Raw genomic sequence first — 22,329 nt, 5'->3', positions numbered from 1 at the left:
GCCGCCGCCGCCGCCGCCAAGCCCCGCCCCACGACGCCCCCTCCCCTCCGGCCCCCGCACGGCGCCCCGCCCCCTCGACGCCCCCTCCTCGCCGAGGCGGGGAGGAGCTCAGTAGGGGGAGGGGTCTGGAGAGGGATGGAGAATAGAGAGAGCAAGGCTCAGGGAAGTGCAGGGGACCTGAGTATTTGCTGTACCCACCACCGACTCTGCAGGGATCCGGGAGAACCTAAGTGACTTGTGCGATTCCGTGGACCCTGGGGAGAATGGTCCATTCTGGGCATACCTGGAGGCTCTGGCCAACAGTTCCCCCAGAATTCTCCAGGTGGGGGCAGGGGAAGAGGCGGGCCCCGCCAACTCTTCAGCAACCCAAAATCTTAACGGCAGACCCAGAACAGCAGGGTGTCCTTAATGTCCCCAAGTAACCTGAAGATGCTGTGTAGCCCGGAGAGGGGCTGAAGTGTGCATGACTGGGGTCTGGTTTGGCTGTAGACCAATCTGAACCCAAAGGTAGAAACACGCTGGGCTCTGAAAGCCAGGCTGAAGTCTGCTAACTGACAAATTCATCCCAAGTCCATCTCCAGGCAGTCTGGGCTGTGTCAGGGTATGGCCAAGTCTCCAGCTGTGGGGAGGCCCAGCACAACCCTTGTTCCAGGCACCCCCACCCCCAGCGCCACCACCCCCACATTCTTTCTTTGTTGTGAAAGCAGCAAGGGGTGTAGGAGGCGGGTCAGGAGGAGTCAAGCTTTAGAAGATGGGCCCCAGCTGCTGCTCAGGCCTCCAAGATATGCTGAGAGGGGATGGATAGTGCCTTGTCTCCCCTCTGGTTCCGGAGGGCCCCCCAGGCCTGTTTAGACCTCCCTTCCCCCAAGCAGCTGGGAGGAGGAATGGCAGCCACAGAGGGCCTCACAGCCAGGAGAAGTGGCGCCAGGACTCCAGGGTCCTGCCACATGGCCACCACATGTCCCTGACAACCCAGTCCACAGCACCTTCTCCTTGGGTTGTGAGCCTCCTTCTTCCCCATCCCCCAGATGCCTTCCTACAGGCCCTGCTGGAGATGATACAAACAACGGGAGGAAGAGAGGAGAGATCCAAGAATCAACACTCCTCCTGCTGCTCCATCCATCACTGCCCCTCACCTTCTGTGAAGGGCCCCAACACAAGCCCTGCTTCATACCCTCTTCAATCAGGACTCAAGTCACAGAAAGGTTACCTGATTCTTTTATTTAAGAAAAGTGAAATACATGGACCTGAAGTGAGACAGCAGAGGGAGGGAGTAAGAGCGGCCAGGGCAAGGCAGCTTGGCTGGCCAGCCCCCAACCCTCTGACTGAAAAGCCAGCAGCAGGCTGCATCTCTGAGGGCCATACCTGCTTTGTACCCACCTTGGGGCCTCAGAGCTAGCTACTCTAGAGGACCACAGGGTGCAGAGAGGGTGTCCTGAGGGTCCTTCCTAAGAGGGATTCCTGAGGAGGGAGCTGAGACCCTAAGGGCAGCAGCAATCTTCTGGTTAAACTGCTCCCCTTCACTGTCCCACCTAGGGGTGGGGAAGAGCCAGGAGCAATGGGGAATGCTGTGAGGGCTGTGGGGGTGGGGGGACCCAGCAGACCTGGGGGCCGGGTTGAATGTCAGCTGCTTGAAGAGAGGTCCATGGTGCTGGCACTGAGGCCCCGGGAGACCTGAAACAGACAACACTACCCCATCAGCTCAGGGACCTCGGCCTCCCAAAGACTGGCTCCTAGAGTCCATCCATCCCATGGTCACAGTGTATCTCTGGACCTAGGATCACATCTGTCTCTGGACCAGTCTATCTCTGGACCTGGGACTTTGTTTAGCCTCTGCTAGGGTTTTCCAGAAGGCCACAATCTGGTGGAGAAGCTACCTGGAAGAACCACATGAATACTGGCATATACTTGTGTGTTGATACAAGAAGTCATTTGCCATTAAAATATCACTAGTGTTTTCTCAGATGGGGATTATTTAATACTTTTCTTTTTCCATTCTCATCTACTACTAAGGCGGCTGCAGGATGAAAAAATAATTCGTATCTCCAAATAATTCTTAAATTATTCATAATTCCAAAGTACCAGTTTACAGAATATTCCTATTTCCCTCCTTATTAACTTATTTGCTACTATGTCTGGCCTGAAACTGTCCCTTGGTGGTCAGCACTCACCACAAGCTATCTGCCTGATTCCTTAATGACTGCAATCCCCTGGCTCATCTTCATCCCAGATGACTCCTCTCCCTTCCCTCTTCCCTTACTCCACTGGGCTTGCTCACTGGCTGTCCTTTTTTCCTCACCCACCAATATGCTCACAAGCACTGCTCTCACCTGGAGGGGTGCTGCACTAGGTTGGTTCAGATAGTTCAAGGAGGCTGCTCGCTTCATGTTGCTGCTACAATGGAAAACGGAAGAATTGAGGCCTCCTCTCTTCCTCCTGAGTGGCCTTAAGGCTGTGGGCCTCTTGAGCACTGCCACACTGGGGCACCCATTCTACCCAAACTCTCTCTCCATGGCTGGCCCGTTGACTTCCTCCCTGTTTCTCTCCGAGATACTTCTCCAGAGATCAGGAGCCAAGAGGAGTTGGAGGCAAGGGCTTACTTTACTTGCCTGCTTTACCATATCTTTTTTTTTTTTCTTTTTTTTTTTGAGACGGAGTCTCGCTGTTGTCGCCTGGGCTGGAGTGCAATGGCATGATCTTGGCTCCCTGCAACCTCTGCCTCCTGGGTTCCAGCAATTCTCCTGCCTCAGCCTCCCAAGTAGCTGAGATTACAGGCACCTGCCACCACACCCGACTAATTTTTGTATTTTTAGGAGAGAGTTTCACCTTGTTGGCCAGGCTGGTCTCAAACTCCTGACCTCAGGTGATCCACCCGCCTCGGCCTCCCAAAGTGCTGGGATTACAGGCGTGAGCCACTGCACCCGGCCACTTTACTGTATCTTGACTTCCATGTATACCTGGAGGGCCGAGGCTCAGTCCCCTGGAGCTTCCTCACCAAGAGTTCACTGCTTCTGCGGAGCACATCCCGGATCTTGCCAAGAGAGCCACTCCTCTGCAGGGTCCCACTGCCATCCTGGCAGAAAGGAGTGAGCAATGAAAGCTACAAGGATCCCACACAGATGGGTTTCTGAGTCTACTCCTAGCATTTATTCTGCACACATCCCCCACCCCCAAGGCCCAGTGACTGGAAATAAAAGTCCTGTCAAAAACTGGCTCCCAGAGATACCCCTGAAGGAATACACTACCTAGACTGGGACAGCATGGCCAAGAGCCTCTCACCACCACCAGCAGGAGTGGGCAGGAGAGATGAAAAGGCAATGATCAGACTTACCCCGGACCACTCCACAGCCACAGAAGCATCTTCACCTCCCTCGAATTTCACACTGTCTCCAGGGCCCTCCTGGGAGGTCCTTCTACCATCACTCTCCCCAAGCAGCTCTGCCACCTTCGTCTGGCTGATAGGGTCAGTGCCCTGGAAGGAAAAGGAAGGACCTGGGACTTCCTACTCCTTAACTCCTCAGGATGGGGCTTTCAAATTTTTTTCACCATCAGCCACTGGAAGGAAAACATTTTTCCTTGTGATGTCTCAGTTTATACCTACTGGAATAATACTTACCTTTTCTATTTGCAATGCATTGCTATATATAGATCTGTATATATTTTTATCCCCATGGCCCATACTGAATTGATTTCACAACCTACTATTGAGACCCACAATCTAAGAAATTCTTGATTTAGGCTCTCCCCAACCTCACTCCTCTCACCCATACCACCCAGGTCCCCTCCTTATGAAAGGGCAGGGTTTCTCCTTCATATCCCCATTTAGTGAATCTTGAAACTAGAGTCCTGACCACAAAATGCAGGTGGGGGGTAAGAACATGCTTAAAAACAACCACAATCACAACACTGCCTCACTTTCCTCTCCCTCCTGGCTTCATCAGCCTTTCCGCTTATTCTTAGGAGACTCCCAAGAAACCTCGGCACTCTCTCATCCCCAGGGCCCTTCCCTCTAGGACCTCCTTCCCCTCTGGGCTTCTGACCTGTCTCCGGGACCGCAGGGCACATTCCTCCAGGGTCTCAGCAGCCTCCAGCTTTCCCTGGCGCCTATACAGAGCTCCCAGGTTTCTCAGAGTAGTGTTCACTGTGGGGCTGTGGTGAGAAAGAGACCAGAGAAGGAAGAGAGAATGAGTTCAGAAAACAAAACATTTGTCTTCCAAGCAAGACAAGAGGAAAAAAAATAAGAAAATAGGAGAGGGAACAGAGCTAAAGCTGAGGGAAAGTCTACGGGAGGAAGGGAAAAGGTCTGGGAGGCTGGGAGCAGGGACTGGATGGAGGGCATCGGAGGCCAAGCTGGCTTTTCACTGTCAGCTCACCTGCTCACTTTGCAGGCCTTGTACCAGCCTCCATACTCAGCATAGGGTGTCCCACCCTCATGGTGCCGGCTCTGCAGGACAGAGAGAGGCCAGAAAGAAGGGCAGGGAGAGCCAAATATAAGAATACAGAGATGCTGAGATGCAAGGTGGCATGGGGCTAGGGTGCAGGCTGGGCTGGGGAGGACACCATGCATCTGGGGCTGGTGCTGGGATGGGAAGTGAGAGTTGGGCTAATGCAAGGAGTAAGACAGAGACCCCGGTAGCCTTGAGCTCCCCAGGCTGGCCCCCCTTCCCCCCACTCACTTTGCTCATTTCCTCCCGCTCCTCTGCATGCATCCAGATGGGCTTGTGGTCATCTAGGGGTGATACATGGGGTGGGGAGGTTAGAGATGGGAGCTAGACAGTGTCGGAGAGCCAGGACCCAGAGGCTGACAGGCTGGACTGAAGGGGTCTGGCTCCCCCTGGGAACCGCTGTGGCCTAACCCCCGACCTTTGGTCTGAATTTCTTTTCTTCCCCACAGCCCCTTCCCCAGGCCCTCACCACTCACCATCCACAGACCCAAACTCCTGTACATGGGCACGGGTCAGGATCTCTTTGTATAGTGTCTCAGCCTCAGCATATTTGCCCTGTTTCAGGTAACAGGAAGCCTGGAGGACAGAAAGGCAAAAATACAGGAACAAAACATGGAGGGAGGCAAGGTCTTTTTTTTTTTTTTTTTTTTAGACAAGGTCTTCACCAGGCTCAGGGAGTTCCACTTCTCAGTGTCTCTCTCACTTTCCCCAGAGATCTTTCTCACACCTCCTTCTCCAGGTGTAGGGTCAAGGGTATTCCCAGCCCACTCCCAAGAAGCTGTGGAACTTCTATAACTGGAATGAAGCAGATCCTTCATCCGCAAAGGCAGCCCCAGACATGAGCACAAAGTTGATGAGAGCAGTGTGCCAGACTGTGATGCTTCCTGACTCTAGGACCCAAGTGGCCTCTCCGCCTGCCCCCCCTCCCCCCACCTCTGTGCCCCCCTCTCCGTTTCTTCCACCTACTTTGTCCCTCCTCCCATACCAGGTTGTTCTTGGTCCGGGCTACATTAGGGTTGTCCGGCCCCAGCTGCCCCTCGTAGATGGCCAGTGCTCGCTGGTAGTAGCGTTCCACGGCCTCATACTTGCCCTGGTTTTGGCACAAGAGGGCCAGGTTGTTCAGCTGTTTTGCCACATCTGGATGATTCGTGCCCAGGACCTGAAAGGGAACAAAGGAGTGGATAAATGGCTATGATAACATGTGTGTGCACAAGCACACGTGTGTTTGCATGTAGGCACACACATGTGGAAAGCAGAGGAAAGGGAATGAAGGAAGAGAGAACAAAGCAGAGATGGGGGTGAGAAAAAAAAAGTGAAGGAGGAGGGTTAGACCAGAGGAGCCATGTAGAGAAGGGTCACAGCGACAAGAGAAGAAGGGAGAGAGGGCATGGGTACCTTTTCTCGAATCTCCAGTGCCCGCTGGCACAGAGGCTCTGCCTCCTTGTACTTGCCCCTTTTGCCATAGAGCACAGCCAAATTGTTGAGTGTGGCAGCCACCTATGAAGACAGGCCTGTCCCCATCAGACATTTGGGTTGCAAAAGACCTATGGGAATCTGAGGTTCCCCACCTCCCAGCAGGGCCCAACACTCACTGCACAACTCTAAGAGACAAAGTCTACTACCCTGGAGCCAGGGGCTGAAGGGAGGGGAAATTGCTGAACAGGATGGCTCTGAGGCTAAGGGACAGTATCGCCCTCTAGGGGATTTTAAGAAATTTCTGGAGGTGTTTTTTTTCTTTCTTTTTTTTTTTTTTTTGTTGTTGTTGTTGTCACCATGAAGATTACCTTTGAGGAGGCAAGAACGCTATAGATGTTCTGCATGTGTGGGACAGCTCTGCCAATTTTTTAATGTCCTGCCAGACATCCAAACGCTAAATGTAAACATTGATATTTGATGGGATATCAAGACAGGAGTATGATTTCTGAGATACATCATCCCTGCCTATCATATGTCATACCATAGGGAATTATTTTCACACAGATCACATTCAAAAATAGCTTTTTGGCTGGACGCAGTGGCTCACGCCTGTAATCCCAGCACTTTGGGAGGCCGAGGTGGGCGGATCACCTGAGGTCAGGAGTTCGAGACCAGCCTGACCAACATGGAGAAACCCCGTCTCTACTAAAAGTACAAAATTAGCCAGGCGTAGTGGCATGTCTGTAATCCCAGCTACTCGGGAGGCTGAGGCAGGAGAATTGCTTGAACCCGGGAGGTGGAGGTTGTAGTGAGCCAAGATCGTGCCATGTTGCACTCTAGCCTGGCAACAAGAGTGAAACTCTATCTCAACAAAAAATAAATAACTTTTCAGCTGGGTGTGGTGGCTCACACCTGTAATCCCAGCAGTTTGGAAGGCTGAGGTAGGTGGATCACTTGAGGTCAGGAGTTCAAGACCAGCCTGACCAACATGGTGAAAACCCATCTCTACTAAAAATACAAAAATTAGCCTGGCGTGGTAGCACGTACCTGTAATCCCAGCTACTTGGGAGGCTGAGGCAGGAGGATCACTTGAGCCTGGGAGGCAGAGATTACAGTGAACCCAGATTGTACCACTGCACTATAGGCTGGGTGACACTGCGAAACTCCATCTCAAAAAACAAAACAAAACAAAACAAAACAAACAAACTTTTCATTTTTCATTTTCTGTACATTGACAACTCTATCATTTGCCTTGGCGTGATATCTCTACTTAAGGTTGTTTCTCTCTTTCCTTTTATTTATATTTATTTATTTATTTATTTATTTTAAGATGAAGTCTCACCCCATCACCCAGGTTGAAGTGCAATGGTGCGATCTTGGCTCACTGCAACCTCAGCCTCCTGGGTTCAAGCAATTCTCCTGTCTCAGCCTCCCGAGTACCTGGGACTACAGGTGCATGCCACCACAACTGGCTAATTTTTGTATTATTAGTAGAGACAGGGTTTCACCTTGTTGGTCAGGCTGGTCTCAAACTCCTGACCTCAGGTGATCCGACCACCTCGGCCTCCCAAAGTGCTGAAATTACAGGAGTGAGCCACAGCGCTGGGCCGCTTCTTATTTTGTTGAGACAGAGTCTTGCTCTGTTGCCCAGGCTGGAGTGCAGTGGTGCGATCTCGGCTCGCTGCAACCACCAACCCCCGGATTCAAATGATTCTCCTGCCTCAGTCTCCAAATAGTTGGGATTACAGGCATATGCCACCATGCCTGGCTAATTTTATATTTTTTTTTTAGTAGAGACGGGGTTTTACCATGTTGGCCAGGATGGTCTCAAACTCCTGACCTCAGGTGATCGACCTGCCTTGGCCTCCCAAAGTGGTGGGATTACAGGCGTGAGCCACCAAGCCCAGTCTCTTCCTCTTATACACAAATAAATCTGGTCTGTCATTTATTTTCTTTTTTTTTGAGACAGAGTTTTGCTCTTGCTGCCCAGGCTGGAGTGTAGAGGCGCGATCTCACCTCACTGCAACCTCCACCTTCTGGTTTCGAGTGATTCTCCTGCCTCAGCCTCCTGAGTAGCTGGGATTACAAGTGCCCCCCACCACGCCCGGCTAATTTTTGTATTTTTAGTAGAGACGGGGTTTCACCATGTTGGCCAGGATGGTCTTGAACTCCTGACCTCGTGATTTGCCCACCTTGGCCTCCCAAAGTGCTGGGATTACAGGCATGAGCCACTGTGCCCGACCCTTGTGATTTCTTATAATACTGTACTTTAATAAAGTGTCCACCTATATTTTCTTTTTTTTTTTTTTTTTTTTTTTTTTTTGAGACGGAGTCTCGCTCTGTCGCCCAGGCTGGAGTGCAGTGGCGGGATCTCGGCTCACTGCAAGCTCCGCCTCCCGGGTTCACGCCATTCTCCTGCCTCAGCCTCCCAAGCAGCTGGGACTACAGGCGCCCGCCACTACGCCCGGCTAATTTTTTGTATTTTTAGTAGAGACGGGGTTTCACCGTTTTAGCCAGGATGGTCTCGATCTCCTGACCTCGTGATCCGCCCGCCTCGGCCTCCCAAAGTGCTGGGATTACAGGCGTGAGCCACCGCGCCCGGCCTGTCCACCTATATTTTCATTTTTTTTTTTTTTTTTTGAGACGGAGTCTCGCTCTGTCACCCTGGCTGGAGTGCAATGGCACGATCTCAGCTCACTGCAAGCTCCGCCTCCCGGGTTCACGCCATTCTCCTGCCTTAGCCTCCCGAGTAGCTAGGACTACAGGCGCCCGCCACCACGCCCGGCATTTTTTGTATTTTTTTTAGTAGAGATGGGGTTTCACCATGTTAGCCAGGATGGTCTCGATCTCCTGACCTCGTGATCCACCCTCCTCAGCCTCCCAAAGTGCTGGGATTAGTGCTGGGATTACACTCGTGAGCCACTGTGCCCAGGCCACTTTGCTATTTCTTTTAACAAAGTTGTACTCAATACAACTACTGTTGTTTTGTATTTTTACCTTATTATATTACATTGTATATATTGTCCTTACAAATTACTTTTCTTGTTTTTCTTTTATATTTATTAGAGTAGCATATTAAGTTTTGTAGAAATCATATGTGGATTTACCTATGACTTATCTATTAATTAAATTCAAGCAAAATATTTGTTATAAAAAGGAGTCACTGAGTCTCAGAGAATTGAGAATCATTAGGATCACTGGACAGTGCCTGGAAGAAAGGACTTCTTATGCCTCCTTCCTCAGCACCCTTAGTGAGTGGACTGAGGGCAGCAGATGGATGAGCTAAGAGAGGCCAAAACAGCAATGGTGGGGGGTGCGGGGCGTGGGGTGGGGAGGGCAAGGAATACTGACAGCAGGATGGTCAGGTCCCAAGGTGCTCTCCCGGATGCTAAGGGCATCATTCAGCAGGTGGGCAGCTTCCTTATACTTATTCTGGTCACTGGAAGAAGACAAAAGTGACAGGAGTTACCCTGAACCCGCAAGCCTTCTCCTTCCCTCCTTCCCTTTGGAAGGACTGAGTACATTTAAGGATTGGAGACCTCCATGAGGAGACAGGAAGCCTGGCGTGGACAGTAAGGGGGCTTCACTGACATACTCATACCAGAATGCAGGGCACTGCCATCCCAAGAGGAGGCCACAAGTTATAAGAAGCAAGGGGGCAGGGGGAAGAGAGGGAGAGAGCACTCCCCAGAAGAGAGATTAGAGGAACAAGGATCCCAAGGGATGAGCAAATGCTTAGGTATGGGAAAAGTGAGAGTTCTGGCACATAAAGAAGCACCCTGTTGGGGTGTATCTGGGAGGCCCAACAGGGAGGAGAGGTACCCTGTAAAGAGGAAAAATGAAAGCCAAAGGAGGACCAAGGTGGGAATGTGGGGGAAGATCTGGGCACTGGAGGAGGGAAGTCCTCACCGATACACCAAAGCAAGGATGTTGAGCATGGTGGCGACATCAGGGTGGCCACGGCCTGATGTGCGCTCCAGGTCCTCTAGTGCCTGCTTACAGAGTGGCACGGCCACCTCATAGCGACCTTGGGCTGCGTACTGGATCACCAGGTTGTGCAACGTCCGCAACCTTGCTGGGATCTCATATCCACCCTGCTGAGCTGCTGTAGCACCTTGACCACGGGACACTAAACCATCACAGAACATAAACAAAGGACTCTTCCTCTCCCCTTTGCTGTCTGCCCTTCCACTCCCCATTGCATGTCTTGTTCCATACTTGTGCCCACCCCAACCTGGACTCTCAATATTAGACCTGCCTCAAGTGCTATTCTTTTATCCACTCCCTTGACCTATGCCCATCACAACCTCAGTTGTTCACCCAGTAATTCATGCATTCAACAAACATTTATTTAATAAGTATGAACCAAGGGATGTTCCAGGAGTACAAAGGTAAGAAAGACCTGGTTCTTTCCCTTGGGGGGCTCATGGTCTCCCTGTCTCAGGTTTATTCTCCCACTAGACTGTGAACTCCTTACTGGTAAGACCTATGCCATTTCCATCTCAGTACTCCTAGTGCCTAGCACAGTACCTGGCACATATTCAGTGCTTAATACATGTTCGTTCAATGGGGAGGCTGAGGAAATCGAAGTACTAGCCCAGCCCCTGCCCTGTCTCCAGAGAAAGTGGAGAACCTATTTCTAGATGGTGACTGTCCTGTGTACAGGGTGGGCCACAGCTAGGGCCAGCCTCCTGCTGCCCCTTTTCACCCTCCCATTCCAGAGGCAGACTCACAGCCATTGCTGGGGTCCTCTTCCTCCTCATTAGGAAAGAGGTCATCCAGGGAATCCTTGGTGGCATCGCCTTCTTTCTCCTCCTGGAAGGGAAGAAGCAACATATAAGGGCCAAGATATCCCTACCTAGTAGCCTTCTCAGTGACCCCTCTAAGCCATGAAATCACAGACAGATGGGACCTAGGAGAAGACTGTTGTTCCTGTCTCTGCCCCTGGAAAGGCTAGCAAGTGGCCCAGCCAAGCTCAGGCCTCTTGTTTGTAACAGCCAGAGATGCTTTGGACAAAATCTCAAGACTTCCCCTCCTTCTCATACAGAAAGTTTCCTTCCTGGCCGGGTGTGGTGGCTAACGCCTGTAATCCCAGCACTTTGGGAGGCCGAGGTGGGCAGATCACCTGAGGTCAGGAGTTCAAGACCATCCTGACCAACGTGGAGAAACCCCATCTCTACTAGAAATACAAAATTAGCCGGGCGTGGTGGCGCATGCCTATAATCCCAGCTACTCATGAGGCTGAGGCAGGAGAATCGCTTGAACCTGGGAGGCAGAGGTTGCGGTGAGCCGAGATCATGCCATTGCACTCCAGCCTGGGCAACAAGAGCGAAACTCTGTCTCAAAACAAAAAAAAAAGAAAAAAAAAAGTTTCCTTTCTAACCACCCTCAATCTTGCCTTAACTCTTGTAATTATGGCCCTATGCTGATCTCTGTGTGTTTACGTTGATTGTATGTCTGTCCTGTCTCTCCTGAGGGAAGGGAGTGTGGCCGATCTTATTGACATGTACCCAGAAAGTGTCTAGCTCAGCCTGGTGCCCATCATCTGCACAGCTCATTCTGGACTTACTACGTAACCCTCCCTCACTGTCTAACCTATTCCGCACTAGGAAAATCTGCTTTTCCCCATCAGGAACTGCAGCCTCATCCAAACACCAACCCTCCTACCCAGCTTCACCAATGTGTCCTATGCAATTCATCTACTCACTTTCCCTGGGACAGACCAGCTTTTCCAGGCTGTAAGCCTTATCAATGACACCCTGCACTCCAGTCTAAAAAGCTGCTCCCTCTTCCTCATCATGAACTTTCAAAATCCATCTCAACTCCTAACCCACTCAAATGGGAAATCCAACCTATATCCTACCCATCCCTGTATCCTGCTTCCTCTATTTTTTTGTTTGTTTTTTGAGACAGAGTCTCTAGTCTGGCAACAGCCCAGGCTAGAATGCAGTGGCATAATCACAGCTCACTGCAGCTTCCACCTCCTGGGCTCAAGCGATCCTCCCACCTCAGCCTCCAGAGTAGCTGAGGCTATAGGTGCACACGACCACATCAGGCTAATTTTTTAATTTTTTGTGGAGACAGGGTCTCACTATGTTGCCCAGGCTCCCTGCTTCCTCTATGAATTCTTCTTAGACCATTCCAGCCCTCAGAGACATTTCTCTGTGAAATTCTTCCCACACTGACTGAACCACTCATCCAGCACTGAGCACTTGCTGCTTTGTATTTTGTCACATATATGTTCTCCTGGATAAGACTTGTTCCCTACAGATACATCTCAAGAAAACACACACTCTCAGCCAGGCGTGGTGGCTCACGCCTGTAATCCCAGCATTTTGGGAGGCCGAGGGCAGGCAGATCACTTGAGGCTAGGAGTTTGAGACCAGCCTGGTCAACATGGCAAAGCTCCATCTCTACTAAAAATACAAACATTAGCCGGGTGTGGTGGCAGACACCTGTAATCCCAGCTACTTGGGTGGCTGAGGCCCAAGAATTGTTTGAAAGCCAGAGGCGGAGGCTGCAGTGAGCTGAGATGGCATCACTGCATTCTGTTGAGCGAGGGTTAAATTTCACACATTTTGGACCGGGCATGGTAGCTCACACCTGTAATCCCAGCACTTTGGGAGGCCCAGGCGGGCAGACCACCTGAGGTCAGGAGTTCAAAACCAGCCTGGCCAACATGGTGAAACCCCGTCTCTAGTAAAAATACAAAAATTAGCCAGGCGTGGTGGCAGGTGCCTGCAATCCTAGCTACTCAAGAGGCTGAGGCAGGAGAATTGCTTGAACCCGGGAGGCGGAGGTTGCTGTGACCTGAGATTGCACCATTGCACTCCAGCCTAGGCAACAAGTGTGAAACTCCGTCTCAAAAAAAAAAAAAAAATTCACACATTTTGAAAGCAAATTTTAGGAGGGTCATGCTCAACTGGGTTATGCTTTCCCTAATTGTACCACGTAGAATTCTGGATTGGAATTGTCCAGGTGCTTATCTATCTCCCTCACAAGCTTGTAATTGTGAGAGCAGGAACTCTGTGTGCCCCATTCACCAGTGCAGTGCACAATGCCTGGTACACAGTAGGCATCTCATTAAATGTTGACTGAATTACCTGAATATTGTTTTTCCCCTTGCTGTCACCTGGAGTTGGTGTCAGGGCTGAAAAAGGAATTCTTTCAGGTGAGAGCAGGTTGGGTAGAGCTGATGGACCCTGAGGATGATGGGGCAATTGCCCCCATGTCTGTGGTAACTCCCGGCTGCCCACCCCTCAGCCAGTCTCGCCTGTGCACACTCACCGAGGTATGTCCATCCTCATCATACTGCCGCAGCTGCCCCAGGAACTCCAGGTGCTTCTTTTCCTCCTCCAGCTGAGCCACAGCCTGTTCACTGCGCTGTAGCCGCTGCTGGGTGCCAGCCAGCTCATCCCGCAGCCACTGGTTCTCCTGGCATAGCCGCCGCACCTGAGCCCGCAGCTTCTGTTTCTCCGACTCCACTGTGCTCAGGTGGCTGGCTAGAGCCAGCATCACCTAGGTGGGCACATCCCCTGAGCTCCAGATTCTGGGTGGGAGTATTCAGGAACAGGTGGAAGGGGAGCCTACTGGGACGTGGCAAGACTGGCAGGGGCACAGAGGAGCCAGAAGGTGGGGGTGTAGCAGTGGTGCTACCTTCAAAACATACCCTGAATCCAATTTCCCACTACCTCCACTGCTGTCACCCTGGACCAAGCCACTATCAATTCCTACCCAAATTATTACAATAACTTCCTCACTGGCCTCGTTTCTGCCCTTGTTCCCCTATTGTCTATTTGTAACCCAACAACCTGATGATGCCAAGTTAGACCACATCACTCCTCTTCTAAAAACATTCCAATAGTTTCCATCTCGCTCAAAGTAAAATCAGGGCCAGGCACAGTGGCTCACGCCTATAATCCCAGCACTTTGGGAGGCCAAGGCGGGTGGATCAAGAGGTCGGGAATTCAAGACCAGCCTGGCCAACATGGTGAAACCCCATCTCTACTAAAAATACAAAAAATTAGCCGGGCGTGGTGGCATGCGCCTGTAGTCCCAGCTACTCGGGAGGCTGAGGCAGGAGAATCGCTTGAACCTGGCAGGCAGAGGTTGCAGAGAGCCAGGATTGTGCCACTACATCCAGCCTGGGCAACACTGCGAGACTCCGTCTCAAAGAAAGGGCAAAATCAAAGTCCTCGGGGTGGCCTACAAGTTCCACTTGATCCATCTCCCTCCCCTCCAACCCCATTACCCCTCAGACTTAATTTTCTACCTTGCTTCTCCTCATTCACTCTACTGCAGCCATACTGGCCCCTTGCTGTTCACTGACCTCACCAGGCAGACTTCCATTCAGAGCCTCTGCACTTGCTGCTCTCTGTGCTTAGGATGCCCTTCCCCTGTTTATGGCATGACTCATTCCCCTCAACTTCACGTCTTTGCCAAAAATGTCACCTTTTCAAAAAAGGGTGGCCTTTTCTGACCACCCTATCTAAAATTATACCCTCTCCCCACAGTCCCTAGTTTCCTTCCCTGCTTTATTTTGATCCTTTTATGCTTAGCAACTATCACTCTGGCATACCGAATCATTATTTATTTATGTATTGTCTGTCTTCCCAAGCTAGAAGGTAACCTCCAAGATGGCAAAGATTTTTACAGTTTTGTTCAATGATGTATCTCTTCAGTGCCCAAAAGCATTCTGGCACACAGTAGGGACTTAATACATATTTAATGAATGAATGCAAACGTCTAGAGTGAGGTGATCCCAAGCAGCCCCAAACCTTTAATCAGATAACTGCTCCTCCATCCACCCTGGACCACTTGGCACCACCTTTGCCCTCTCACCTGGGCCTCACTCAGCCCGAGCTCAATGTTTTCCATAGAACGGCGAAGCTGCCGGGCCTTCTCATGCACCAGCCCTTCCTCATGGCCTCCCTGCTGCAGACACTCAATGGTCTGGGACAGGCTTTGCAGCACGGCCTGGTGTTCACTGCGTAGGGCCTCTAGCCCTTGGCTGACCAGCCGTGTGCTCCCCAGGATCTCCTCTTGGCTGAGCCGGTGGCCTGCAGGCTCATCCCGCTGCCCCAACACCAGGCCTGACATCCTGGCCTGGGGGACCTTGCCCGGTCTAGGGAGAAACAACAGAGTTCAGCTGGTGTAAAGATGAGACAGAGAAGCTGAGCAACTTTCTCAGAGAGTGGTGGGAATCCAAGTGAAGGGACAAAAGTAAGAGTGACCCTGTGGCTTAGCTGGAGAGAGAGAGTGACCAGCAGGCAGGGAGCTTAGATCACTAAACTCAAAGCTAAGGTTGTGGGCAAAGCGAGAGGGAGATGAACTGACTTAAATAAAGGAAGACTATAGTAGGAACAAAGGTGCTTAGAACTAGCAGAAGGATTTAGGACTTAGGAAAAGAACAAAAAAGCAGTTACAGCCTGAGTTAGGAAAAGGAATCAAGGGATGAGAGACAGCACTATGGGGATCACAGAAGGTCTGTGGGAGAGCTGCAAATGGCACAGGGTTAAAGTGGGAGATATGCAGAAAATAATGCAGGGGTCTAGAAAAAACGGAAGGAATCTCTGCAAAGTTAAATCAGGGAAGAAAGGGAAAAGAAGAAAACAAGAGCCTTCCTTGCAGGATCCACATTACAGGGTCCCAGAAAGCTCAAGGTCTTCAGGCTGCATCACCTGCAGAACTAAGCCCAGCATCTCCAAACCTGGTCAGCCCTGCATATTTTCCCACTAACCTTCAACCCATACTTCCCACCCCCCAGGACTCAGACTGTGTTCCCACTTCCTCAGAGGGGTCTTGTTTCTCATCTTTGAAGCCTTCTTACCTGTGTACAGAGCAGAGGCCCTGGCTGTGGCACTCAGGCCAGAGCACGGAAGAAACTGTTCTGCAGCCAGAGAGTCAGAGGATCTGCCCTGCCCAAAGTCCAGAAGTCCAGCGTTCCCACCCCTTCTTTCACCACTTCACAGCTACCCAGAGGACCTGGCCCAGAGCCCCACCCAGGACAAACACCCTCCCTCCCTCCCTCTGCCCACAGGTCTTCAAAGACGCCCAATTCCCGTCTCCTTCCCCAAGCCAGCCTCCCTCATTGCAGGCCTAGGGAGCTACTGTCTCCCAGGAAGGGAATGAGAGAGAGAGACTTAACCAGAGACCTACAGCAAGAGGCGTGTCTGGGAAAGGGGAGGGAGGAACACCTGGTCACTCCAAACCCAGTCACTTCCATGGTTTTGTCTCTGTCACGGTCACCTACAAACAGGCTCTGAGAGGAATCACCGTAGGGTGCCTCCACAATGCCCGATGATGCAGGAAAGAATGGGAGGTCTGCTGAACGGCTGCCGGGTCGCAAGGAACCGCGGCGCTGGAGTGGGTCTCCTGGGCCTGGAAACGCAGTAGAGGAGTGCCTCGGGCTGTCGACCTGCCCTGGTGCCCAGGGTTGGGAGAGTGAGATGGGCGGGGGCGGCAGGGGGGAGGTGTGGATGGACGACTGAGGTCCGCAGCTCCAGCGAGGACGTGGAGGCCTAACGACCCCGAGGTCACTGAGTCAGTCGGTGGCGCAGGGGGCGGGGCAGGTCGTCTGTCTATCTGTCTGGACGCCGAGGGGCGGGGAAGAATCGCGAAGGGCGGAGTTTTGGAGGCTGGAGTTTTGTAAGGTTGGTTGGAGGGGGTTTGTTCATCTTTCTGGTAGTGCGAGAATAAGAGATGGCAGAGACCTTAACCTTCAGCCCCAGGATACCCTCAAAGACTCACCTGCAATCTGCCGGTGTGGCTGCCGCTCTTGCCGGTACTGCCCCTTTAAATCCATGATGGCTGCCGCTCGAGGCAATTGTTTTGACGGGTCTGGGGGGGCGGGGCCTGTTTCCTAGTCACGCGACATTAGAGCTGCCCGCGGATTGGCTCTCACGGCGTTCAGGTAGGAAAGGAGGTGTGTATCCAGCTTGGGCTCCAGTTTTCTGCCCGCCTCCTTTTACGTTATTGCGGAGCGACGGCGCCGGACAGTCAACGTCATCTAGGAGCACCGAGCAGCTTGGCTAAAAGTAAGGGTGTCGTGCTGATGGCCCTGTGCGCACTGACCCGCGCTCTGCGCTCTCTGAACCTGGCGCCCCCGACCGTCGCCGCCCCTGCCCCGAGTCTGTTCCCCGCCGCCCAGGTAATCCATCTTACCCGGGAAGAAGGCTGCTTCCATTCGGGCTGCCGGAGATGGGGTCTGCGGGCATGCGAGGCGGGAGTTGCGAGTCTGGTCAGGAGTCATGCAGGTCCGTGACCTTGGATAAGGCACACTTAGCCTCAGCTTTTTCCTCTACAAGTGTTGCTTTCTCATAGGGCGAAATTCTTCAGACGAGATACTTAAGGTGAAAGTGCTTTGCAGATCACCGGTTGTGCAGGTTTCAGTAATAACGTTTCGAGTGCCTATGATAAGCCAGGTATAGGTAATAGACGTTTCAAATAAATGAACTCCTTTCAAATACTCTATAAGGCAGTTACTATTCCCATTTTATAGATGAGGAAAATAAGGAGTCCAAGGTCACACACCAACTATCAGAGCTAAACAGTCTGTCTTTCAGAGCCTGTGCTCTTAACCATTATGATATGATGCCTGCAAGGATGAGTTACTGCTGATATTAGAGAATGCAGGGCAAGATACCAAGAACAGTGGCCTCAGGGGAAGGTATCCTGAGGTCCTAGTGGGTGACTGGTGAGTCACACAAAAGAGAAGTAAGTCCTGCTCCTCTGGAGCTTTCAGGCTGCTTATGGTACAGTTTGGGAGATGCATGTTTAAAATTCAAATCCAAATCAACCTACTCCGAAATGCTGGGAATACATCAAGGAACAAGAGTGAAATGACCCCTCCCCTCCATTCATATGTGAAGAATTCCCAGAAACAATGCAGAGGGCAAAAGGAATTGGCACTGATGGTGGTACATGGATGTGTGGAAGCTACCAGCTCTGGAGAAGGGAATTGTTTAGGTAAAAACAGATTCCTGGAGATGGAGAGTTCTGAGCCAAATTTGGAAGGAGATCACCAAGGAGAGAACATTACTGTGCAAGCTGTGAAGGGTGGAGTTTTTGGATAGCTGGTTTGGGATACATCCAGGAGGAAGTGGGCTACAAGCTAAAATTGATCTGTGCCCTCTGCCTTGGTTCTCTGATGCTTTGCCTTCAATTAGCTTTCAAATGAAAGAGATGTCTTTTTATCCCTAGATGATGAACAATGGCCTCCTCCAACAGCCCTCTGCCTTGATGTTGCTCCCCTGCCGCCCAGTTCTTACTTCTGTGGCCCTTAATGCCAACTTTGTGTCCTGGAAGAGTCGTACCAAGTACACCATTACACCAGTGAAGATGAGGAAGTCTGGGGGCCGAGACCACACAGGTGGGAACAAGGACAGGGGGATTTAAGCAGTCAAAAGGAAAAACATGTTAAGACCCTAGACTTGTATATTGACACACTTGTACCTTGTAAGGCAGAGGAATGTAATTAAAAAGCACTTATTTGGCTCCTTTTGCATGTAGTATGTGTACAGGAGTCAGAGAGTAGAATACAAAGCAATAGGTAATTGGTCTATGCTTCTAAAGACAATTTGGGTAATTGAAGAAAATGGGCCATACACAGGAAGTGCCATGACATTTTCCTTCATACCCTTCAAAAATTTATAACAGGCTGGGTAAGGTGGCTCACGACTGTAATCCCAGCATTTTGGGAGGCCGAGGCGGGCAGATCACCTGACGTCACAAGTTTAAGACCAGGCTGGCCAACATGGCAAAACCTCATCTCTACTAAAACTTTAAAAATTGGTCAGGCGCAGTGGCTCACGCCTGTAATCCCAACACTTTGAGAGGCCAAGGCAGGCAGATCACTTGAGGCCAGGAATTCAAGACCAGCCTGGCCAACATGGTGAAACCCCATCTCTATAAAAATATAAAAATTAGCCAGGTGTAATGGTGCAGTCCTGTAATCCCGGCTACTTGGGAGGCTGAGGCATGAGAATCACTTGAGCCCGGGAGGTGGAGGGTAGAGGCTGCAGTGGGCCGAGATCGCGCTGCTGCACTCCAGCCTGGGCAACAGAGCAAGACTGTCTCAAAAAAAAAATTAACCAGGTGTGGTGGTGGGCACCTGTAATCCCAGCTACTCAGGAGGCTGAGGCAGGAGAATCGCTTGAACCCAGGAGGTGGAGGTTGCAGTGAGCCGAGATCGCACCATTGTATTCCAGCCCAGGTGACAGAGCGAGACTCATCTCAAAAAGTATATATATTTATAACCGGCCGGGTGTGGTGGCTCCTGCCTATAATCCCAACACTTTGGAAGGCCAAGGCGGGAGGATAACTTTAGGTCAGGATCCAGCCTGGGCAACAGAGTGAGACCCCATCACACACATGCAAAAAATTTATAACAGTTGAAATTATTTAAGTATGATTTACATGGCTCTCAGTAAACTTACTGATTTCAGTAATTTGAAAATATTTTGGCTGGGCGCAGTGGCTCACGCCTGTAATCCCAGCACTTTGGGAGGCCAAGGTGGGCGGATCACAAGGTCAAGAGATTGAAACCATCCTGGCTAACACAGTGAAACCCGTCTCTACTAAAAATACAAAAACTTAGCTGGGCGTGGTGGTGGGCACCTGTAGTCCCAGCTACTCGGGAGACTGAGGCAGGAGAATGGCGTGAACCCGGGAGGCGGAGCTTGCAGTGAGCCGAGATCGCACCACTGCGCTCCAGCCTGGGCAACAGAGTGAGACTCTGTCTCAGAAGAAAAAAAGAAAATATTTTATCTGGAAGTTTTATACAATTTCAATAATCATATAATGTTTTTTTCACCAAGCTTCATGTTGGTGTTGCCCCTCCTTACTCCAGTGTGCTGTGCAAATTTTTATCATTTCTGCTTGTGCCACAATGCTAAGCACTGCTCTCTGGCAGAGAATGGGCCAGTTCCCAGTGCTGGAAACTAAACTACTCTGACCTGAATCATATCCCCCAACTGTCCTAAACCACAGGCCGAATCCGGGTGCATGGTATTGGCGGGGGCCACAAGCAACGTTATCGAATGATTGACTTTCTGCGTTTCCGGCCTGAGGAGACCAAGTCAGGACCCTTTGAGGAGAAGGTTATCCAAGTCCGCTATGATCCCTGTAGGCAAGTTTGGGATGTGGGATGATGATGGAATGGTCTGAATAACTCCATAGCTTCTCAGAAGATGTGGGGCTGCCTAGACGGTCTGCTTACCTGTCCCTCACCCTGATTAGGTCAGCAGACATAGCTCTGGTTGCTGGGGGCAGCCGGAAACGCTGGATCATCGCCACAGAAAACATGCAGGCTGGAGATACAATCTTGAACTCTAACCACATAGGCCGAATGGCAGGTGAGAGATGGCTACCAGATGTGTGGGCTGGAGGCAGCAAAAGTTCTAGAGCTAATGAAATCCTGTCTTTTAGTTGCTGCTCGGGAAGGGGATGCGCATCCTCTTGGGGCTCTGCCTGTGGGGACCCTCATCAACAACGTGGAAAGTGAGCCAGGCCGGGGTGCCCAATATATCCGAGCTGCAGGTATGGGGAAAGGAGTTGCCTGGGTCCTATAGTTTGGAAAGGCAAGGAGAGTCTGAACCCATGGTTCCACATCTGGTACTGGCAGAGAAAATTAAGGAAAAAACAAACATGAGGATGAAGATATGCATGTGTTTTTACCTAAAACATAGCATGCGTCCTTCTTTGTGTATCTGCTCCTAAAGAGCAAAGCAAGGGCAGCATGTGGGGTATGTCCCCTGTGTAAGTCCCTCTGCACCCCCCTGTTTTGTGGAGGGTGGCAAATCAGCTTCTTTCCCCAGGGACGTGTGGTGTGCTACTGCGGAAGGTGAATGGCACAGCCATTATCCAGCTGCCCTCTAAGAGGCAGATGCAGGTGTGTATGGGTATGGATGGGAGGGGTCAGCAAAGGAGGAATTTTTGGAATGTAACTTTCCTGTCTGGGATAGCTCCCAGGTGTTTTATGATGCAAGGAACTGCCTTGAGCTGAGGCTGTCCTTTTCTGCCACATGACTCAGGTGTGCTTTGTCGGATTGGCACCATAATTAATTTTTTTTTTTTCGAGACAGAGTCTTGCTCTGTCGCCCAGGCTGGAGTGCAATGGCACGATCTGGGCTCACTGTGACCTCCACCTCCCAGGTTCTAGCAATTCTGCCTCAGCCTCCCGAGTAGCTGGGATTGCAGGCACGCACCACCACAGCCAGCTAATTTTTGTGTTTTAGTAGAGATGGGGTTTCACCATGTTGGCCAGGCTGGTCTCAAACTCCTTACCTCATAATCCGCCCACCTTGGCCTCCCAAAGTGCTGAGATTACAGGAGTGAGCCACCACACCCGGCCCTACTTAATTTTTTTTGAGACAGGGTTTCACTCTATTGCTTGAGTGCAGTGGCACAATCAGCTCACTGCAGCCTCAAACTCCTGGGTTCAAGCAATTCTGCCTCAGCCCCCCAAGTAGCTGGGACTACAGGCGCACACCACTCCACCAGGCTAATTTTCGTATTTTTTGTAGAGACAGGGTATCACCACGTTGGCCAGGCTGGTCTTGAACTCCTGAGCTCAAGCAATCTGCCTGCCTAGGCTCCCAAAGTGCTGGAATTACAGGTGTCAGCCACTGCACCTGACCCTGGCTAATGTTTTTTATTTTTGTAGAGATGGGATCTCATTATGTTGCCCAGGCTGGTCTTGAACTTCTGAGCTCAAGTGATCCTCCAGCCTTGGCCTCCCAAAGTGCTGGGATTACTGGCGTGAGCTCTTTGTTTTCAACTACTTAGTTCCTACTGTAGGACCTTCACTTAGTGTCAGCCATCTTATGCTTTTCCTTTTCCCTCGCCCTTCTCTCCTTGAGTCTAAGAAGCCCCCCAAGGGTGTGCTCTCAACATTGTCAAGCTCTTTCCCCCCCATTGTACAGAATCTCCATCTGTTTTCTCTGTCAGGTGCTGGAAACGTGCGTAGCAACAGTAGGCCGAGTATCCAACGTTGATCATAACAAACGGGTCATTGGCAAGGCAGGTCGCAACCGCTGGCTGGGCAAGAGGCCTAACAGTGGGCGGTGGCACCGCAAGGGGGGCTGGGCTGGCCGAAAGATTCGGCCACTACCCCCCATGAAGAGTTACGTGAAGCTGCCTTCTGCTTCTGCCCAAAGCTGATATCCCTGTACTCTAATAAAATGCCCCCCCCCCCCGTTTTAATCTGTTACTGTGGTTTTGTTTTGGGTGTTTTTTGTTTTTTTTGTTGTTGTTTTTTTTTTGCGGGGGAGGGGATGGTACAGACTAAACGTGGGGAAAAGAAGTAAAAAGTGTGGAAGAGAAAGTACAGGACACTGGGTCTGTCCCCACCCCAATTCCCTTACAAGTAATGGAGCCGGGGATGGAAATAAATGACGTCCAAGGTCTTTTCCAGTTCTGACTTTGGGAAACGGGGAGGGCACTTCCGCAGGAGGGAGGACTAAAGGAA

The 22,329-nt window shown here is 51.1% G+C and overlaps 2 protein-coding genes and 1 long non-coding RNA gene across 11 annotated transcripts, besides 7 other annotated features; 2 read left to right on the top strand and 1 right to left on the bottom strand.

Annotated features, from left to right (window-relative positions):
• On the top strand, positions 66 to 1,963 carry KLC4-AS1 (KLC4 antisense RNA 1). The gene is made up of 2 exons (XR_002956347.1): positions 66 to 601; positions 1,029 to 1,963. It is a non-coding gene; the product is annotated as a KLC4 antisense RNA 1 (long non-coding RNA).
• Positions 324 to 847: an enhancer, noted in NCBI's record as "H3K4me1 hESC enhancer chr6:43043187-43043710 (GRCh37/hg19 assembly coordinates)". NCBI's record gives its function as "activates a minimal SCP1, AML or CMV promoter by ChIP-STARR-seq in naive H9 embryonic stem cells {active_cell/tissue: H9 hESC(naive)}" and the evidence as "EXISTENCE:reporter gene assay evidence [ECO:0000049][PMID:30033119]".
• KLC4 (kinesin light chain 4) lies at positions 1,203 to 16,665 on the bottom strand. 6 transcript variants are annotated; one of them, NM_201522.3, is made up of 17 exons: positions 16,020 to 16,383; positions 15,691 to 15,778; positions 14,703 to 14,985; positions 13,149 to 13,379; positions 10,595 to 10,676; positions 9,771 to 9,990; positions 9,213 to 9,300; positions 5,841 to 5,942; positions 5,431 to 5,604; positions 4,922 to 5,021; positions 4,677 to 4,729; positions 4,374 to 4,444; positions 4,041 to 4,149; positions 3,332 to 3,472; positions 2,958 to 3,073; positions 2,331 to 2,394; positions 1,203 to 1,674 (listed from the first exon to the last, which is right to left on the bottom strand). In NM_201522.3, the coding sequence occupies exons 3-17, from the start codon at positions 14,958 to 14,960 to the stop codon at positions 1,624 to 1,626; spliced, it is 1,860 nt and encodes a 619-aa protein (NP_958930.1). In that variant the 5' UTR covers positions 14,961 to 14,985; positions 15,691 to 15,778; positions 16,020 to 16,383; the 3' UTR covers positions 1,203 to 1,623. The 6 variants fall into 6 exon arrangements, with proteins under 6 accessions (NP_958930.1, NP_958929.1, NP_958931.1 ...); NM_201521.3 differs by lacking the exons at positions 15,691 to 15,778; positions 16,020 to 16,383 and adding an exon at positions 16,611 to 16,665; NM_201523.3 differs by lacking the exon at positions 15,691 to 15,778 and having other exon boundaries at positions 16,058 to 16,383.
• Positions 4,614 to 5,114: an enhancer, noted in NCBI's record as "H3K4me1 hESC enhancer chr6:43038920-43039420 (GRCh37/hg19 assembly coordinates)". NCBI's record gives its function as "activates a minimal SCP1, AML or CMV promoter by ChIP-STARR-seq in naive H9 embryonic stem cells {active_cell/tissue: H9 hESC(naive)}" and the evidence as "EXISTENCE:reporter gene assay evidence [ECO:0000049][PMID:30033119]".
• Positions 5,951 to 6,245: an enhancer, noted in NCBI's record as "tiled region #10128; HepG2 Activating DNase matched - State 5:Enh". NCBI's record gives its function as "activates a minimal TATA promoter and a strong SV40 promoter by Sharpr-MPRA in HepG2 cells {active_cell/tissue: HepG2}" and the evidence as "EXISTENCE:reporter gene assay evidence [ECO:0000049][PMID:27701403]".
• Positions 5,951 to 6,245: a silencer, noted in NCBI's record as "tiled region #10128; K562 Repressive DNase unmatched - State 12:CtcfO". NCBI's record gives its function as "represses a minimal TATA promoter and a strong SV40 promoter by Sharpr-MPRA in K562 cells {active_cell/tissue: K562}" and the evidence as "EXISTENCE:reporter gene assay evidence [ECO:0000049][PMID:27701403]".
• Positions 15,698 to 16,649: an enhancer, noted in NCBI's record as "H3K27ac hESC enhancer chr6:43027385-43028336 (GRCh37/hg19 assembly coordinates)". NCBI's record gives its function as "activates a minimal SCP1, AML or CMV promoter by ChIP-STARR-seq in naive and primed H9 embryonic stem cells {active_cell/tissue: H9 hESC(naive and primed)}" and the evidence as "EXISTENCE:reporter gene assay evidence [ECO:0000049][PMID:30033119]".
• On the top strand, positions 16,433 to 22,267 carry MRPL2 (mitochondrial ribosomal protein L2). 4 transcript variants are annotated; one of them, XM_005249161.6, is made up of 7 exons: positions 16,433 to 16,513; positions 18,063 to 18,231; positions 19,851 to 19,989; positions 20,100 to 20,215; positions 20,289 to 20,399; positions 20,678 to 20,751; positions 21,810 to 22,267. In XM_005249161.6, the coding sequence occupies exons 2-7, from the start codon at positions 18,063 to 18,065 to the stop codon at positions 22,020 to 22,022; spliced, it is 822 nt and encodes a 273-aa protein (XP_005249218.1). In that variant the 5' UTR covers positions 16,433 to 16,513; the 3' UTR covers positions 22,023 to 22,267. The 4 variants fall into 4 exon arrangements, with proteins under 4 accessions (XP_005249218.1, NP_057034.2, XP_047274807.1 ...); NM_015950.5 differs by lacking the exon at positions 16,433 to 16,513 and adding an exon at positions 16,862 to 17,010; XM_047418851.1 differs by lacking the exon at positions 16,433 to 16,513 and adding an exon at positions 16,862 to 17,116.
• Positions 16,578 to 16,627: an enhancer, noted in NCBI's record as "active region_24588". NCBI's record gives its function as "activates an Ori minimal core promoter by ATAC-STARR-seq in GM12878 lymphoblastoid cells {active_cell/tissue: GM12878}" and the evidence as "EXISTENCE:reporter gene assay evidence [ECO:0000049][PMID:35858748]".
• Positions 16,738 to 16,967: an enhancer, noted in NCBI's record as "active region_24587". NCBI's record gives its function as "activates an Ori minimal core promoter by ATAC-STARR-seq in GM12878 lymphoblastoid cells {active_cell/tissue: GM12878}" and the evidence as "EXISTENCE:reporter gene assay evidence [ECO:0000049][PMID:35858748]".

This window comes from Homo sapiens, chromosome 6, assembly GCF_000001405.40.
Source record: "Homo sapiens chromosome 6, GRCh38.p14 Primary Assembly".
Lineage (NCBI taxonomy): Eukaryota > Metazoa > Chordata > Mammalia > Primates > Hominidae > Homo > Homo sapiens.
The sequence above is the reverse complement of the archived record's forward strand: the minus strand, read 5'-3'. Positions and strand labels throughout refer to the sequence as shown.